Below are 17,632 nucleotides of genomic sequence, written 5' to 3'. Positions count from 1 at the left end.
GCAACTCTTATTCTGTGTCAAGCCCTATGGAAAGCAATTGATGCATATAGTATTTTACCATAATTCCCAAAGTAAGTGGTATTGTGCCCAGAGAGAGGTTGAGCAATGTGCCAAATGTCACAAAGCTAGGAAGGCATGACTGCAGGATTTAAACTCAGATCAGGCCCCAGAGCCCGTGTTCTTAATCTCTGCACCCTTTACTGCAGTCATCCCCAAAAGATTGCTCATGTGGCATGAGCATGGACCCTGGAATAGGTTCCCACAGCCCTTAAAAGTCCATCATCTTTAGTGAAAGCCTGAATGTTCACCTTAGGAAGACTTTCATTTAACTTAAATTTTTTATCCCGTATTAAATATTGATGATCCCAACTCGGAGGAAATTTTACCTCCATGAAGATATGTGATCCTTATGTCTAATTACATTTAGTTTTCGTGAAATAAACTTACATATAAATTTACTCTTGCTAACTAATTATCTGGTCTTTTACCTACTATTCAATGAGAATATTACATGAAAAACATTGTAGATATACTGAGAAGAATAAGGTAAGAACCTTATTCCAAGAAACTTTAAATTAATTACATAGATTCACATACAATGACAAACAACAATACAATGAAGAATGGAAAAGTGCTGCAACCCAGATGTAAGTCATGGTGTTCTCAAGAAGCATGCAAAGAGCATTTAATTCCAGCTGTTGGCATGAGGAAGGCTTCAAAGATAGAAGAGGGATAGAGGGATGCTTTGGCTATTTGATGAAAAAAGAAGGGAATTCCAAAATGAAGGATTGACACAATCACGGCACAGAATTTTCAATGTGCATTTTGGAGAATGGTAAATGATCCAGTGTATTTAAAACATGGCACTCATGGAGAGTTGTTGGGAAAGGCATGCTAAAGGGAAACCAAGTCATTGGAGTCTTGACTGAATAGTGAGGTAATTAGCACTTGTTTCCATAAACAGAATGGAGGCATTGAGGTATTTGATGGTGGCAGTAACTATCGAACCTTCCTTTTAGGACAATAACAAAGGTAGCACTGTGGAAGAAGATTTGAGGACCGGAAAAGGGAGAAAATTTTGCCACAATTCAAAAAGGACATCATGGCCTGGCACAGTGGCTCACACCTATAATCCCAGCTCCTCAGGAGGCTGAGACGAGAAGACCACTTAAGCCTGGGAGGTCAAGGCTGCAGTGAGCTATGATCATGTCACTACACACTAGCCCAGGCAACAGATTGAGACACAGCCTGTTGTGTTTTGTTTTGTTTTAAAAAGGACAGAAAAAAATCTTGCAATGGCAGAGAGAATAAAATAGAAGAGACAGAAGGGAACTTGCAGAAATAAAACTGAATGAACGTAGTATGATCATTGTGCCTTCAGAAGCTTGTCCGTAGTCACAAGGTGAAGTGGATACATGTAGTGTTTGTATGTCTTTCCATTATTTGTCTCCCATCCCAGCGCTATCACTTTAACCTCCCCAAAATAGACATTAAGCAGTGGGGCTTTCAATTTACCAAAAGAAAGTTTCTCTTAACATCATAACATCATTTAATTGTAATTAGAATAAATGCCCCTACCAAGGAAAGTGTTTAGGAATTAAACTAAGAGTGATCTGGATAGGGTGGGACTATATTGATTTTTAGATTGTATTTTCCTCCCTGTTTCTCTTAGATCACACCATATGTGTACCCCTAGTTCAGCATGTTCTTTCATCAAGTCAAAGACAAAAGAGAAAAAAAGATGCAACAGTCTCTGGACTCCTCACCACCACATCCGTTTGCTCTCCTTGGCTCTTGATAAATAGAATGGTGAAGACCCCAAGGGAAATCCCCTTGTCTGTAGTTTCTGCATTGCACAACTGCGGGGACACAATTCACAGAACAATATGATAGGATACAATGTAAGAGCTTCTCCTGCACTCTCCCAGTCTTGTTCTTGAGTTTTCACCCTCCCAGGCTTACCCACTATTTCTGCTCTTCTCCCTCAAATTTTCATCTTACAGTCTTTACTGTTTCACAATGCAAACCCTAGTAAATCATAAAATCACTCACAGGCCAAATAAAAACAGTAGCTATTTTTGATTAAGCATTGGACAAAGTATGATCTGCTTTAGAAGTCCTGCTTCTGGCTGCCTCCCAATCTTTTGTTTGTATGTTTCAATCAAGACATCTGCTGTCTAGTGTTATTTCAGATAATAATCTTAATATTAAGAAATGATTCAGAATATCCAGCCATACCAAAGCAAAAAGGCAGCATACAATCTCTTAAGAGAAGACATAATTAAGTTAAGGAAAACAGAGAGTTGCCATTTTTTAAGAGTGAATATGCATGTCCAAATTACTTCAATTAGCATAACCACATCTTTCCAGAACAGTTGGCTAATATCATGGCCTTCCTCATTAGGATTCAACTTCACAATTGTGAATAACAACTACAAAGAAAACAAAAACAAAGAAAACTGAAAGATAATCCTATATTTTATTGTTAATCAAGTGTAACCTTCTTTACTTTTTTTCTTCTTTGTCCCTCCCTTCAATATTTCAAGACTAGGAAGATAAATAACAGCAGGTTTAATACTATTGACAGAAGACTTTCTGCTATGTAAACCTGATTTTTCTACAAATGCATTATGGCCATTGGGGACGGTGAGAGCAGGATTGAAGATTCATTAATATATCCCCATAAGCAAAGAGCAAATGAATCTCAGGCTGTTTCTCAGAATGTTTGGAATGACTCACTCAACAAGCTGTCTAGATCCCTTCTGGCTGGAAATATCAGAACTAGAATTGAATAATCTCATATTAAAAATGAAGGAAAAAGTACAAATTTACTCTGTGTTTATATTGTAAATTGGCATTATATTTAATTGCAAATGTACTGCAAATGCTTACTTTATTTTGATTATTATATGATTAAGTATCGGTTCCGTGTGGAAATACTTTATTTTGTTTTTGGACTGAATTTTGTGGTTATGAAAGTTATAGAAGATTTTGATATGAGGTGACATTTCTATTGGGTCTTTATTTCCAAATGCAATAGTGGTACAAAATGGCAGCCTTAGAAATTGACTTATGTATTCTTTCCCCAGCTACTTGCAATTAAACTAAACTCAGACACATTTTTGTGCTTCATCTCTATTTTGAAGAGGAAAATGTTACATATGACAGGACATAAGAGCTGCCATCTGGTCCCGGTAATTCTTCCACGTCTTGTTTATCTATTAGGTATAGAACATCTTGTACAATAACCACGATTTGATCTAATAGTTCTCATCTGTTTCTCTTGTCTGTTTACAAAGACATTTAGCAAATGAGAATCTCCTTAACATTTTCTTTAAAAATGGGCAAACAAAAATCATTTAATATCTCAGCCTGCTATCTTCCCCCGTAATGACCGAACAAGAATTTATGCTCTTCCATGCTCTCTTTTGACTCTGTAGCATACCTTCTGTCTCACGTTTGTCACCTGGGTCCACAGTCCTATCCGCGTGTTCCTTCCATTTTTTTTCTTGCCTCATGTTGCCAGTGAAGAACTAACAAATATTTTTGTGACTAAGAAATTGCATTTTATTAAATGCAAAAAAGCTAAATAGATGATTGAGGGATTAAATTGTAGATACTATTCTTTTACATTTTTTAAAATTTTTAAAATTATCATGTATGATTTTAACCTATGGTAAGTGTTGTGAAGGAGAAAATGTTATGGGAAGTGAGTGTAACAGTGTACTGAGAGGAGCAAGAACTGACTTAAAGCAAAGTGGTCTTTTTTTGGAGTGAATATGTATATTAAGAACTCTTATATTGCTATAAACAAATTTTTCTGCAACTATTAGTTAATATCATGAGTCTTTCCCATCATGAATCTTTCCCTTCAGGATTCAATTTCAAATTAGAAATAAGAGCTATAAAGGACAAATTTTAAAAGAATCCTGTTTAAGTTTGTTTGGTTTGGGCTTTTATTTTTTTAAATTTTGTTGCCAAACGATGTAAGGTATATAACAGGACAGCCACACTAATCTGGAAAATCTGGGAGGACTTATTTGAGAAAGTGACTTCTGGTCTTAGATCAGAAGGCTAAGTGGGAGAGAATGTTCCAACATAGGGAACAACAGTTTGAAAGCTTTGAGGCAGAAAGAATTGCATTTCTGAAAACTAAAAGGCCAGTTGAAACACAGTGAACGTGGTGCAAAGTGAGCCTGCAACAAGAGGCTGGAGCCAGGTCATGGTGGGCCTTGTAGGCCATAGTAAGTATCTTGGTGCTTATCTTAAGAGTGATGTGGTGCCACTGAAGAGTTTTAAGCTGCTAGCTGTAATGTGAACAAGGACACCAAACCTGCTGGAACAGCATTTTTAAGGTTAAAGTTTAACCCCAAGTTTAACTAATGGAGACAATATCAGGAGCAGGTGCATTTGTATTCTAGAACAGCCGACAGAGATTTATCTAGGCCAGATACCAGACTTCAGGAGAAGCCCCTACCCTTGATCTGCGGGGCTTTGAAGCTGCATGATTACAGAAGCACTGTGTAAGCAGGAGCAGGAAAACAATAGTAATATTATGAGGCAGAAACTGGGCCTCAGTCCTAGTCAGCATTTTATGGTTGTAGGTAGGACCAACCTCTCCTGTCATTTGGCACTGAGGTTCACAAATATATGATGTCACAAGGAAGCAGTAGAATTCTCCACTTTAAAATGTTCCTGTTTGGGGAAGCATAGGCCCCTCTTTTGGAATGAGAAGGGCCTGGAAATCAAGCCTTGTGAGTGTAGTTGGTCAGAATGGAGTACTTTAAGTTTAGGGCTTTAAACTCAAGGTCTTAGCCCACTTTCAGGAAGCTTTTCAGAAGACCCTGGGGAATCTTTTTTGGAAAAATTAACCCTTACCTCTCATCAACAGCATGCTTGATGTTGTGTATCAAAAAAATAAAAATAAAATAAAAAATAAAAAATTAGCCAGTCCTGGTGGTTCATGCCTGTAATCCCAGCGCTTTGGGAAGCTGAGGTGAGAGGACCGCTTGAGGCAAGTAGTTTGAAACCAGCCTGGGCAACATAGCAAGACCTGTCTCAAAAATAAATAAATAAATAAATAAATAAATAAAAGTAAAATTGGCCAGATTTAATAATAAGCTGGTTATGGGGTGTTGGGAAAAGAGAAGTTGTAAGGTCAATTCCCAGATTTCTAGCTTGAACTTTGTGGATGGAGCTTCCTTTCCCTGTAAGAAAGAATATTTGTGAAGATCCAAATTTGGGAAGCAAGATCATGAATTCAGCTTTGGATATGTGGAGGAGGCAGTCAATTCAATGGGATAAAGGTCAGACATGATATATCTTGCTTTTAGTGCAGGCAAAATGAAAAAAGCCACTTATCAGGAAAAAACAACCTTACCCCTTTACTAACCATAGTCAGGAAAAGATTGAGGCCTGAAAACAAAGGAATCCACTCTCTTATTCATAGCACCATTGTCACCAGAGTGTTGATAGCTTCTCTTCAGCCTCTTAGAATTCTCTCAAGTAATTTCCTTCGGGGTTGACATTTATCTTCTGAGTCTTAGCCTTGAAATGTGTCTGTAGAGAAAGCATCCTAGAGATTCGTTGTTAGTCTTGCATTATGCAAGCATAGATTTGAAGACCAGATATTACAACTTAGTAGCTTTACTGAAAATGTTGTCATTTTTATCCAAGCTCCAGGTCACTCTCCTCTGTTCACCAACAGGGTTCCATGAGTTTGAGGCTGCAAGAGCACTAAAACCTGCTGACTGCTCCCTTTATCCCTGGTCTCTCTTGACCTGCTGCACCCTCATCTCTTACTTGCGCCAAGTCTAGAAGTTCATCTGCCTACAGGGAATGAGTTATCATGTGCAATATGTTCCCAAACACCTCTTTAGGGTCTTTAGGGTGCTTTACTATAGTTTTAATATGTTCCCTGGATGAACTGTGGGGTATATGTGTGTGTGTGTGTGTGTGTGTGTCTGTACTAAACTATAGCGCATATGCATTGATATAATTTGTTATCTGAATGGAAAGATTACTCTTCTGTAATGCAGTTTTCAGATTTTTAATATATTGTTTCATTCTTTGATACTAATCCTATCTAAGTTTCTTAGCTTTAAGAGCACTTGAAGAGACAGTTTGAGATATTTATTTTCTCTGTGCAATGTTGAAAGACTTGGTTGATTGTGGTAAGACAGGTTTTGAAAAGGATATTTCAGTAACTCAGTGGTAGATGTCAAAGCACTTATGTATATGTATATTGTGCAAGTGTCTGCTGCGTTTAATAAAAATTAAAGTTTTTAGTGAATAAATATTCAAATTACATGAAAACATTATGTATAAACCTATTATTTAAAAATGTGACATATAATTGTTTAAACAGTAGTTGATTTAGGAATCTATTAAAAATAGTTATGAAAAAATGAGGTCATCAATTCAAAACTTTTACATATCTTAAAGATATTATATATTTCTACATGAAAAAAGGAGCTGAAAAGACTGGAGCAAGCAAAATAATTTAAATATTTTATCTTCTCTATTTTTAGTGTCTTTTCCTTGTGGAGCATAAAATAGTCCCAGAATAAGCTGCCAGTCAAACGTCATCTACTCACCTTAACTAATGCATAGAAAGACAGGTAGGATCAGGAAGACCATTTATTCTTATAAGATGTGTAGCCATTTGCTTGGTTCAAGTGAACAGGTCTTAATTAGCAGAAACTCTCCAAGTTCCTTCAATAACTATGCTCTTGCCCTTCCAAAATTCAACAGACAGTGTGTGAAGTTCAAAGTAAAGCCAGTTTTAACAACCTCAAGTCTTCAATTTTTAAAAGATGATTCAGTGGTAACTTTAGTTAACTGGCTAAACCTCAGTCTTTAGAAATACGGAGTAGGCAGGAAGAAAGTGTAAGTGTCTTTTGCATATAAGCATTTTTTTCTTTTCCATGATTGCTTCCAAAGAGAATTAATTTTATCCTTGAAACCCCGTCTCAACTAAAAATATGAAAAAATTAGGTGGGTGTGGTGGTGGGTTCCTGTAATCTCAGCTACTTCAGGAGGCGGAAGCAGGAGAATCACTTGATCCCAGGAGGCAGAGGTTGCAGTGAGCCAAGATCACGCCATTGCACTCCAGCCTGGGTGACAAGAGCAAAACTCTGTTAAAAAAAAAAAAAAAGAGTTGTATAAAGTTGTATAAGTATATCTTGATAATTGAGACAGCATATATAAAAACATGTTAACGATTTGATATGTGAAAGGACAGATGCCTATTGATCCTAAATACATTGAATTGAAGAGTTGACTTGCAGGTATATTTCTCTCTAATGGCTGACTATTCAAACCTTGTGTGAGAAGAAAAGGTATTCGGAAACGGGCCGATGTGCTTAACTCTACAAAATGATAGCAGAGCATCAGATTAGCATCATCTCTATTCTTAGAAAAGAAATAAACTAACAATTTTCTAATATCACTGTATTTGAAAGAACAATTTAGACTATGAATGGTGGATCTACTTGAAATTCACAAACTACTTTGCTGTATCAAGGTTTTAGTTTTCAGGCAGGTCACATTATATTCCACACATGCATCTTAATATATGGTGTGTTTTTGTCATTATAATGTGGATGACATTATTCTGACTAAATTAGCACTATAATGGGGACCTATGATATATATGATGAAATTGTAAATTCTTTTCATAGGTTTTGAAAGGGTAATATTTGGGTTAATTTATACCGATTGTGTGGTCAGGATCAGATTAAGACCTCTGAGAACCGTAAATGTTAAAGGCATTATGGTACCTCCTTTCCTACCCCAGTATGTGTTTTACTTTGCATCTTTTCTTGTCAATTAAATAGAAAACCTCTGCAAGTGCGGGAGAAAGCCAGCTCTACAGCTGCGACATCAAGCCTCCCCTAATCTTCTTCCTTCATTCCTGCCTTCATGATTGACTCAAAGTAAAGCCTTAATATTATCCTGGAGCACATTTCTTCCATAAGTGGGTTTTCATACTGATTTTCTTTTTATTTTATTTTGATTTTAACTTTCTGTTATATCAATAATAATAAGCTTAGTTGTTTTATAAGCAGTCAAAATTTAAAGCATAGCGTTAATCAGCAACTCACAACAGTTTGCAAAAATTATTTGACCCAAAATAAATAGTGATAGAAAAAACAAGTGCCACAGAAATTTGCCCCAATGCATGACCTGCAATTTTGTAAACACAAAATCATCCTAAGTGTTGTGTTTTTGGAATAAGAATTTGGGATGATCAATGCAGGAACAGAAAACCAAATAACACATGTTCTCACTTCTAAGTGAGAGCTAAATGATGAGAACACATGGACCCATAGAAGGGAACAATACACACTGGGGCCTATCAGAGGGTGGAAGGCAAGAGGAAGGAGAGAATAAGGGAATATAACTTATTGGCACTAGGCTTAATATCTCAGTGATGAAATAATCTGTACACCAAACCTCCACAACACAAGTTTACCTGTGTAACAAACCTGCACCTGTACCCTTGAACTTAAAATAAAAGTTAAAAAAATAAATTTGAGATGATCTCCGAAAGTTCTACTTCATTCCAAGGATGAATAGCAAAAAGATCCTGAAGAATCTTTGCTACTTGGAAATCTTAATTAGAATATTTTAAATATATTTTTAAAGACATTTTTGACATTTGATCACTTCTCTAACTCTAGTAGGTAGGGTATGGTGCAAACAGTAGGAGAGGGATCTACTCTAAGACTTGAAGAGCCTAAACAAGGATCAGAGTGGAAGGCTGGATTGCTGATCCACATGGCTCCAATTCTCTTCTTGTGATCCCATCCCACACTAAATTTCCTCTCTTTTCACTTCCCTTCCTTCTCTTTTCACTTAACTCCTTACCGTTCTCCTCCTCTTCCCCCTTCTCTTTCTTGTTTTCTTCTCTTTCTTCTCTCACTAATTGTTATTTTATTTTATTCTCTGCTTACTCCCTTTCAAGTAGAAAACCAAGTTAGTACCATTTTCAGAAGTTTCCACTTTTCTGACTCTTGCCTTTAAACACTCCCCTGCGCTTCTTTGTCATGCTTCTGTTTTGCTGAAGCTTTGAAAGTATCTCTTAGAAAGGCCCTCCATAACCTATCTCAGGTTCTATTGTTTTCTCTCCTTTTTTTTTTTTTGAGAATAGTAAAGATTGCTTGATATATTTCAAGTGAGATGTGTTCCCTAAACTCCTGGAGTTTTATTTTACCCTTACAGATCCAATTGTTTTAACATATCTTAATAGAACACAGTAACATTTGGCTAATGAATATTAGACATGCACAGTAATTGAGGGCTAGCTTGTTTCAATCCCATTAGTAGGATCATATACTGACCCAGCTTTTTACTGTTTGCGAATAAAAAGCAACTTATGAAGCTTCTTTCCTAGTTTATTGTTGCCATAAAAATAAAACCCCAGTCAGACTATGTGGACTATCTTTGTTGAATATTAAATAAGTTAAGTGGTGACCCAAACCATTTCTCTCTCAAAAAAGAATGGGGAATTTATTTAATGGTACAGAATGATAAACACTAATGTAGCAATTACATAGTAATGTTCTCAAATATCCCAGTCTATACAGTAATGTAACATGTATGAAGCCCTGAAAAACTGTCCCAGAGTTTTCTCCTATTCTCTGGAAAGTGACTAGGAAATGTGCTCTACTAGGATCTGGCAACTGGCAAGCCCTCATTTCAACAAAGAAAATCTAAATTTTCTTTATGTGTCTCAGTTTTTGTCAGTGTTTGAGGCATGAACCATGTCTGATTTATTGGTTCTAAGTGTAGCATTGAGCAACAATGCAAGGAAGGAACAGAGAATAGAAGTAAACTGAGGCAGATCTTGAGAGCAAATGAAATTTCTTATTGGTTGAGTCAATTTTCATTAAAGAAAAATTACAGGAGCAAAATTATTAAGGAAGTTTCCAGTAGGAAGCATCTCAGAATAGGCTCTTGCCATTAAAAAATAAATCTTTTTTTTTTATTTTTGGTACAAAGGCCTAAAATAAATTCTTTGGATATAAGAGGACTTCCAATAACAATAATAAATTCAAACAGCAAAACCATATGGAGAAAAAAGAAAAAAAAAGAAGCTTCTCCAGTTATAAGTTAATACACAATATTCATAAAGTCATTCAATATATATCTCACTTAGCTGATGTTCCATTGTAAATATATTAGTAGGAAATACAAAAGACCATAATAAATCTTAAATTGCCATAATTAGGAAATATTTCTTAAATTACCATAATAACATCCCTATAAGTATGCTATGACCATCTTTATTTTACAAATGGAAAAGCAAATTCTAAGAGGTACTTATCTGCCTATATAAAATAATCTGCTTACTAAATGGCAGAATCAAGATTTGAACTAAAATCTCAATTCTAAATTCCTGTATTTGTCCTCAGAATCACATTGTCTAAACAAACAGAGCTAGAGATCAAGTCAGTGCAAAAAAAATGTAGTGCAACAGAATATTTCTTTGTTTTCTCTGCACTCAAGAAAAACTAAAATATTTTTAGTGCGAAAATATTCTTTTGCACTGGTTTCTAGCTTCCTCACAATCATAATGTATAATTATCCTTCTGTTGTTATTGTTTCTGTTTTCAATATCTGCAACTTTGGAATCCAACTAGTGTAAAACTCTCTTCACCTACTTCCAGATACAGAATTAACTCTAAACCTTTATTGATTTTGGTTTTGTGTATTTACTTAGAACAATTCAATCAGTCTGTACAAAGTGTACAATCATGTGATATTTTATTCAGAGAAAAAACAGAGTAACCATGAAAAGCACCCATTTGAGTCTTTAGGTCTTATGGTTTAGATTCACCTTTTTGCTGAGTAAAATGAATACTGAGAGAAAATGGAAGCAGAAAATAAGGATTTAAGGAAGAAAAGTGGGAAGGAAGAGAAATGCTCAGGATCCAGACCCTTGGCTAGAGCTGAGTAAAAAATCTCACAAAAAAAGGAGATTTTGCTTCATTTTCTTCTTCTCTATGGTCTGCCCTCCGTGCTAATGAGAAACCCCCAGCTCCAGAACTAATATCCTCACTCTCCACTCATGAATCATAACGGACTCAGTGAGGCTCCCACTCTCATCCTGTATCCAGTATGGCATTGCTATCTGCCCTCTGGGAGACTTGAGTCAATTCCCACTTTCTGCCTTTGCTTCTGGTCAAAGAGAATGGGGAAGATACTAAGGATGAGAAAAGAGGTAATGATGAAAGATGAAAGATCTGTGAGAAGACCATTCATGGAGAAACCCATGCCCTGGAAAGAGAGAGAATGAGGGAGACATAGAGGTTGTTGGGGCATGAGGTTTGGTCAGGTGGTGAAGGCCTAGAGTTCTGTGGAAATATGATGGAAACTTCATTTTCATAGCATCTGTTAAGCATGTGTATTTTCCAGAGCGTGGTTCATGTGTCCTTGGCAGGGAAAGCTGATGTCAGCACAATCTCAGCATTACCACTGGGATATGAATAAAGCGTAAATCAGGGATTAAATGGGAGACTTGCTAATAAATTTGAGGGAGATACACACTCTGATTAGAATGGGCCATCCTCTAGATTTAAGCAAAGAAAGTCAATGAAAAACACTTCAGATAATTTCTCAAGCAAAATGGTGGCATTATTCACGGCAACAGGGGATTTGTTTATGGGAAATTGTGTGTGAGAGAGAATACCCAGATAGCCTGGTGAAGAGCGGCTGCCCAGCACACAGCACAAAGTGGCAAGAAGCATACCGTGTCAGGTCAGAGGACACCATCGAGACAACTCCAGGCCTGCCCTTGTTTAGGATTCAGCTGTTCTTCTCTCCACTCTCCTCCTCATCCATTTTCCCTGGTCCTTTCTCCAGAGTAATTTATTTCTTAACAGTCTTCTACCCCATATCTCTTCATTGCTTCCCCTGATTGCTGCCAACAATTCGCTGTCCATCCATAACTCCAAGCCAGTCCCACCTTTCTAGAAACTAAAGGATTTTTCACAACTGCTTTGGTCAATCAGTGTAGCTCCTTACAGTATATTTTCTAAGACTTTCCTCATGCCACTGAAAACCACCTAGCAGCATCCCGAGGAGCAGATGGTCCCGTCAAATTTGTAGGAAATGACCCGTTCTGTACCAATAAAGAGTGTGACAACAGGTTTGGCATGAAATGGTTAAGGATTGGAGTAACTTTAGCTCATCCATTTACGCCCTTTCACAGTTAGATAAAATAACAATTTCAGAACCTTGAGTTAAGATGGAATTAGGAGAGAGAGAGAGGAAAAAAGAAAAAAAAAAGAGAAGAATGGAAAAGAAAAGGAAGGAAAAGAAGGAACAAGACCAAAAGGGCAGACAGAACATCAGTGACAGACACAGGGGGAGCAGGAGAATGGAAAATGGAATTAACATGTTTGGAGGGATCTGAGTGGTCAATATGTCTTTTTTTCAGAAAAGCAAGAGCAATGCATCTTTTCTCTCTTCTCAACTATTGCAGAATTCAAAATAATACTATGAAGTAAATGTGACTCTTACAATAGAAAGACTGCCTTACTTAACTTCTCCAGCCAAAATCTCTTTCATGAGAATGCACTCTACATGAGGCAGGGGAACCCTGATATCTCTTCACCACTCCTTGTCATTGGCAGGGCACCGCAATCCAAATAGACTGGAAGAAGTCCATTGGAGATGTCTTATTCCAATGAATACTATTAACTTCTGTTTCAGGCAGCTTACAAGCCTGGGGTGTGAGGAGATTTGGAGAGGGCCAGCACAGCTGAGGCTTTTATTGGTTATGGCAGGCTTTTAGCCAGGCCCTGCTGCTTTAAAAGCGAACAGCATCTTTGTGCTTGCAGAGGTAATGGAGCTATTAGAGCACTACTCAAGAGTAAGAAAAAACCAGTACTCATCCCACCCCCACACAATGGGTTAACACAGTTACAAGGTAAGATAAGCCTCCTCCCTCCAGCCATGGCTCCTCCTTTCTGTTTTCCCTTGATGTGACAGTGAGCTCATGAAGTCAAGCTGCGTAAATCTCAGGAGAAGTAAATGAGGGAGAGACAGAGAAAGAGGGAAAGAAACGGGACTGCAATAAAATAGAACGAAGAATGGTCAAGAGTGAGTTTGAAAAAAACAAAGAAAAGAGAAGACACACTAAAATAAAGTAAAGGGGCCAAATAGCACTCAGATGACAGGGGAATGAAGACAGAAAGTGGGATTCAAAGGAAAGGAGAGGGGAAAACAAATTGGTCTGAATCCTCTCTCTTGAGAACTGATGGCCTCGGTTCAGCCTCACTATTTATGGCCTGAACTGCATAATTTTATCTTTGTTCTTTGTAACAAGGAGAGACTAGAGCCCTTTTTGTCACCAAATCTAACTGCCACACATAGGGATACTTCATAGTCCTGGGCTGGATGATTCCCTTTGAAAAGGGTTGAGGGGAGGAAGGATGTTTCCATCCAATGAATAATGGTTTTAAAGTGTTGGAAGGAAAATGGGATCTTTTCTTGGAGTTAAGGAGAAAAGGACTTAATGAGCTTCTTAGGAGTGTCTTTAATAACTCAGGATGCATTCCTTCACTCTTCACCAACCTCAAGGGGCTTCAGAGAAGGACAAGAAATTAGAATGGATAACTCAAGAGAGAGAGGTCTGGGTAGGATCAGTGGCCATGACCTGAGTTTGGGTTTTGAGTACTGCACAGCTGCTCTCCAGTCTCCCTCAGGACTTCAAACCCCATCCCTGTTGGCTGTTAGCAAGCCTAGCCTGTCCAGGTGACACCTAACTTGCAGTGTGCCTGGCCTGTTGAGCTGCTGTCCATGGTTAAGCTTTCTTTTGGGGCTACACACAGAGAAACTGAGAAAGGGAGGACAACAAGGATGTGGATAGGGAATAAAAAGGAAGAAGAACTAAAGGAAGACATCTTTCACTAAATGATTTTCTATAGGGACCCTCAACCCCAATGACTGTCATGTCTTTCTTCTTTCCTGGTACCTTTCCCAAGATTGCCTTTTTTTGTTTTATGTCTCACACTCTCCTTGGCCTACAATTTCTTGTATCTTTCATATTTTTTCTTTCTTTTTCTGTTGTTCCACTTTTGTGAAATGTCAATGTTTATTTAACCTCTGTGCAGCCTGCTATGAAGGATACAACAAAATGTCTGGTGGGGCTCTGACTTCTGGGAGCTTACAGTCATACGGATGAAACAAAACTAATAAACATGACTCATTTAGCAAACAATAGTCTGACGCTAAGATGTGTCAGAGAAATGCAAAGTGAAAAGTATAATTGTATTGTTGTTCACACTTCAGGCATGAATGCAACTACCCATGATCCCAAACTCCAGGCCTTGGTTTAAGTTCATTTCACTCAGCTTCTGAAGGACCACTCAGAGTTTAAAGTGTCAGCAAGAAAAGAGAGCTTGGCACATATTCTCCCAAACACATCATCAGGGCCAGGCAGAGCTTTGGAGCTCACTTTAGGTCAGGAAGCCCATAGATCTGACTAATGAATGATCCTATGTTATCAGACAAAAAGAAGTCTCTCCATTTTTCATTAACCCCCACCCCCACTCTTTTCTATAAATTAAGAGGAAGGAGGAAAGGGGAAAGGGAAAACAGAAGAGGAGGAAACCTGTTACCATGAGCAGATAAAGAGGAAACATCAATACATGTGCACACACACAAAATAAGATGCTTTTGTTTTTCACCTATGTGTTTAGCAGGTAGATTATCCAGGATATTTGTTCTGGTGCCCAACATCCCGGGCTATGTTGCCTTCGAGTTACTCACCAGAACAAATGCAGGAAATCCATATTTTCCATGAGAAGAAAGAAAGTCAGTTAGGCCAAAGGAGAGAAGAGCTCATGCGGACTCTCACCTTCTGTGACCGTGGTTCTAAAGTGTGAAGAGGAGAGCCAGAGATACATGTTAGGTATCTAATTTATGCCGTATCCTCACCCTATTTATTTTTGCCCCACTCCTTCTCCAAACGTACAGTGAACCTTGAGCAACAAAATGAAACCTGAATAGATGGCAAAGACAGGAATCACAGCAGATTTTGCTGGTTACTACAAGCTTGAAAGATGGGTCTGGGGCCGGGGGGTATTGTTTTCCAGCCTCATGCTAAATTTTCAAGGATCCCCTAATATTGCCTCCACTTTTAATAATGAAAATATTATTAGATTAGTGACTTTCAGCAAATAGACCCAAATCTTTAGCCTATAATGCAATATATAACTAAAAAGCAAATACCTCATAAGTATTCTGTCATCCCAACTCTGCAAGCATGGATGGTGTTATTTTTTGGTGTAACTTTATAATCATTTCACTTCAATGGATATTCATCAGCTGATGCCGTAACTCTGCCATGCTACATATTGTATCTCTAGACCTCAGAATTAGAAGTGGGTTGAAATGGTTCAAAGTTCAGTGTTCCTTAATCCCAAAACAGAACCCCAAATCATTTTTGAAAGTTTAGAACATTTGAGTGGCTATGAATTCCTGTTTTATTAACTACACATACAGCCTTATGTCATTTATAAATTTGACTATTTCAAGGATAAGGTCTCATAAACTCTCTTAAATAAGAACCGACGTCTTTCTCTTTCTCATATGTTTAAAACCTAGAATATCCCTAGAAAGTTTAGTTTCCTTAGGCCTACAGCAGTTTTCCAAAGCCAATGAAGAGCTTTGATAAAGAGATGGGATGTTTGTTCTCAATAGGTGTACTTATCCCTGCAATTTTCAGTTCACCTGTCAAGTCCAGCGCAACAGTCCCAGCCTAGGAAACTAAGCTCATCACCGCTGCTCCTCTGAGAAGAGGCCCTGCAATGTTCTGTAGAGGGTCTACAGGTCAAGCAACTAAAAAAGATCAGAATCATCAAAATTGGACCCCAAAAGATGTGAGAAAACAAATAATTTGCTTTCCCAAGAGTAAAACAAAAAAATAAATAATAAAGCGAAAATAGAGGTTAAGAAAACTGAACAAAAGCCAAAGTATGTTAGTAAAATTTACTCTTTCCTCCTTATCGAAAAATATCCACCTTTATCAAAGCCCATGAAATTTTGCCTCTGGATAATAGATTTACCTTCCAAGCTAATTTCCCTGCCTCTTATCCAATTGAAAGATTGATTTTAAGATTTTAGATCAAGACACATGAAACTGCCATTTTTAAAGATAGAAAAGATCAAATATTGGCAATTTCAGATGGTTCAATCAGAGACTTCACTTATTTCGTGACATTCCTTCCGTGTGCAAAACTCTATAATGTCTCACCAATAATTTCTTGATTAAAACAGAAACTATGAAATGTGCAACTCATGAGTTCCTCCTTACCTAACAGATGTTATGCCTTCCTACCTGTTACCCAGTAAAGACCATCTCCATAGCACCCTCTCTAGGTGCTGCAAACTCTGCCTCTAATTTTTTAAAAAATTAATTTCTATTCTTTTATAATTCTCCATCCCCTCTATCTACTATGTAACTTCTAAGCTTTATTTAAGTACTTTCACACAATCCATATTAAGCAAGAAGACTCCATGACAAAATTCATACTTCACTGAAACTTCCCTACCTAGAATATTTCCTCAAATATATGATTGGCTCAATAATATCATATTGGTTCATATATAAGCCAATGTAATTAGAATATGATAAACTCAATAATATCACAAGTAAAGATACCTATTTTTTAGTAAAACATCATTATTTCAATTGTGAATGCATTTCGTATACCTGACTAAACCTTAAGCACTTTAAAACATTTTACCTTTTCATTTATCTACATATTTATTAATTTTGTTTGATCTATCCCTAGTATAACCTGGCATAGTTTGGAGACAGCAAAACCAACCATACTAGGTAAATCAATCCTTCTCCAACAGTTCATTTCTGTGTAGTAACCACAAAATGCCAATCAAGACATTGTGAGCAGCCTTTAAATAGCAACTTTCCTTCCAACTCTCTGGGACTACAATTTGTGAATATATATTGCTCCAGTAAGTACTGGTTACGGGTCATAAAAGAAAGAAAAACAACACAACAGCAATCAGCCAGACTCTCCTTCCCAAACCTGCCTCCAGTGCTGATTGTTCCAAATCATTACTTATCCAATCAGTCTGTTAGTAAAGTGGCTGGCTAAAGACACCTACCAGGCACACAGGAAATTACTACTATGGGAGATGATGAAGCATCATTGTAACAATAAGAGCAAAAAGCCATTGCGTGCTTATTAAATGCCAGGTGCCATTTTAAGCTCTTCAGAAACCTTATCTCATTTAATCTTCACAAACTCCATGAGGGTTACATACTTTTTCAGTTGAGGAAATTGAGGCAGAGAGTGACTGAGCCACTTGCCAGTTCAATTACTACTAAGTAGTAGAGTGTAGATCATATACTAGAGCTGCTTTCTTCTAAAACATGGTCTTCTGTAAACTGGAGGATCCTTATAAATCACTGAGTCCTAATCCAAGCTGAATGACTTGCCTAAGGTCACAAAATGACTCACTGGCTGAGCTAAAACTGAAATACTGGCCTTCACTGTTAATTGACTTCTAACTCTGCACTGTTCCAACGTGGTACACAGACAAGTTGAGAAGAGTGAAGTTCAGGAAGAAGAAGAGTTCTATTTTCACCTCGTGG

At 37.4% G+C, this 17,632-nt stretch overlaps 1 long non-coding RNA gene across 1 annotated transcript in view; it reads left to right on the top strand.

Annotated features, from left to right (window-relative positions):
• LOC124909415 (uncharacterized) overlaps positions 1-17,632 on the top strand; it is a 274,299-nt gene that overhangs the window by 11,697 nt on the left and 244,970 nt on the right. The window contains exon 1 of the long non-coding RNA XR_007096015.1: positions 1-17,632. This exon is cut by the window's left edge and continues 11,697 nt beyond it. This is a non-coding gene — a long non-coding RNA (uncharacterized LOC124909415).

This window comes from Homo sapiens, chromosome 3 (genome assembly GCF_000001405.40).
Source record: "Homo sapiens chromosome 3, GRCh38.p14 Primary Assembly".
Lineage (NCBI taxonomy): Eukaryota > Metazoa > Chordata > Mammalia > Primates > Hominidae > Homo > Homo sapiens.
The sequence above is the reverse complement of the archived record's forward strand: the minus strand, read 5'-3'. Positions and strand labels throughout refer to the sequence as shown.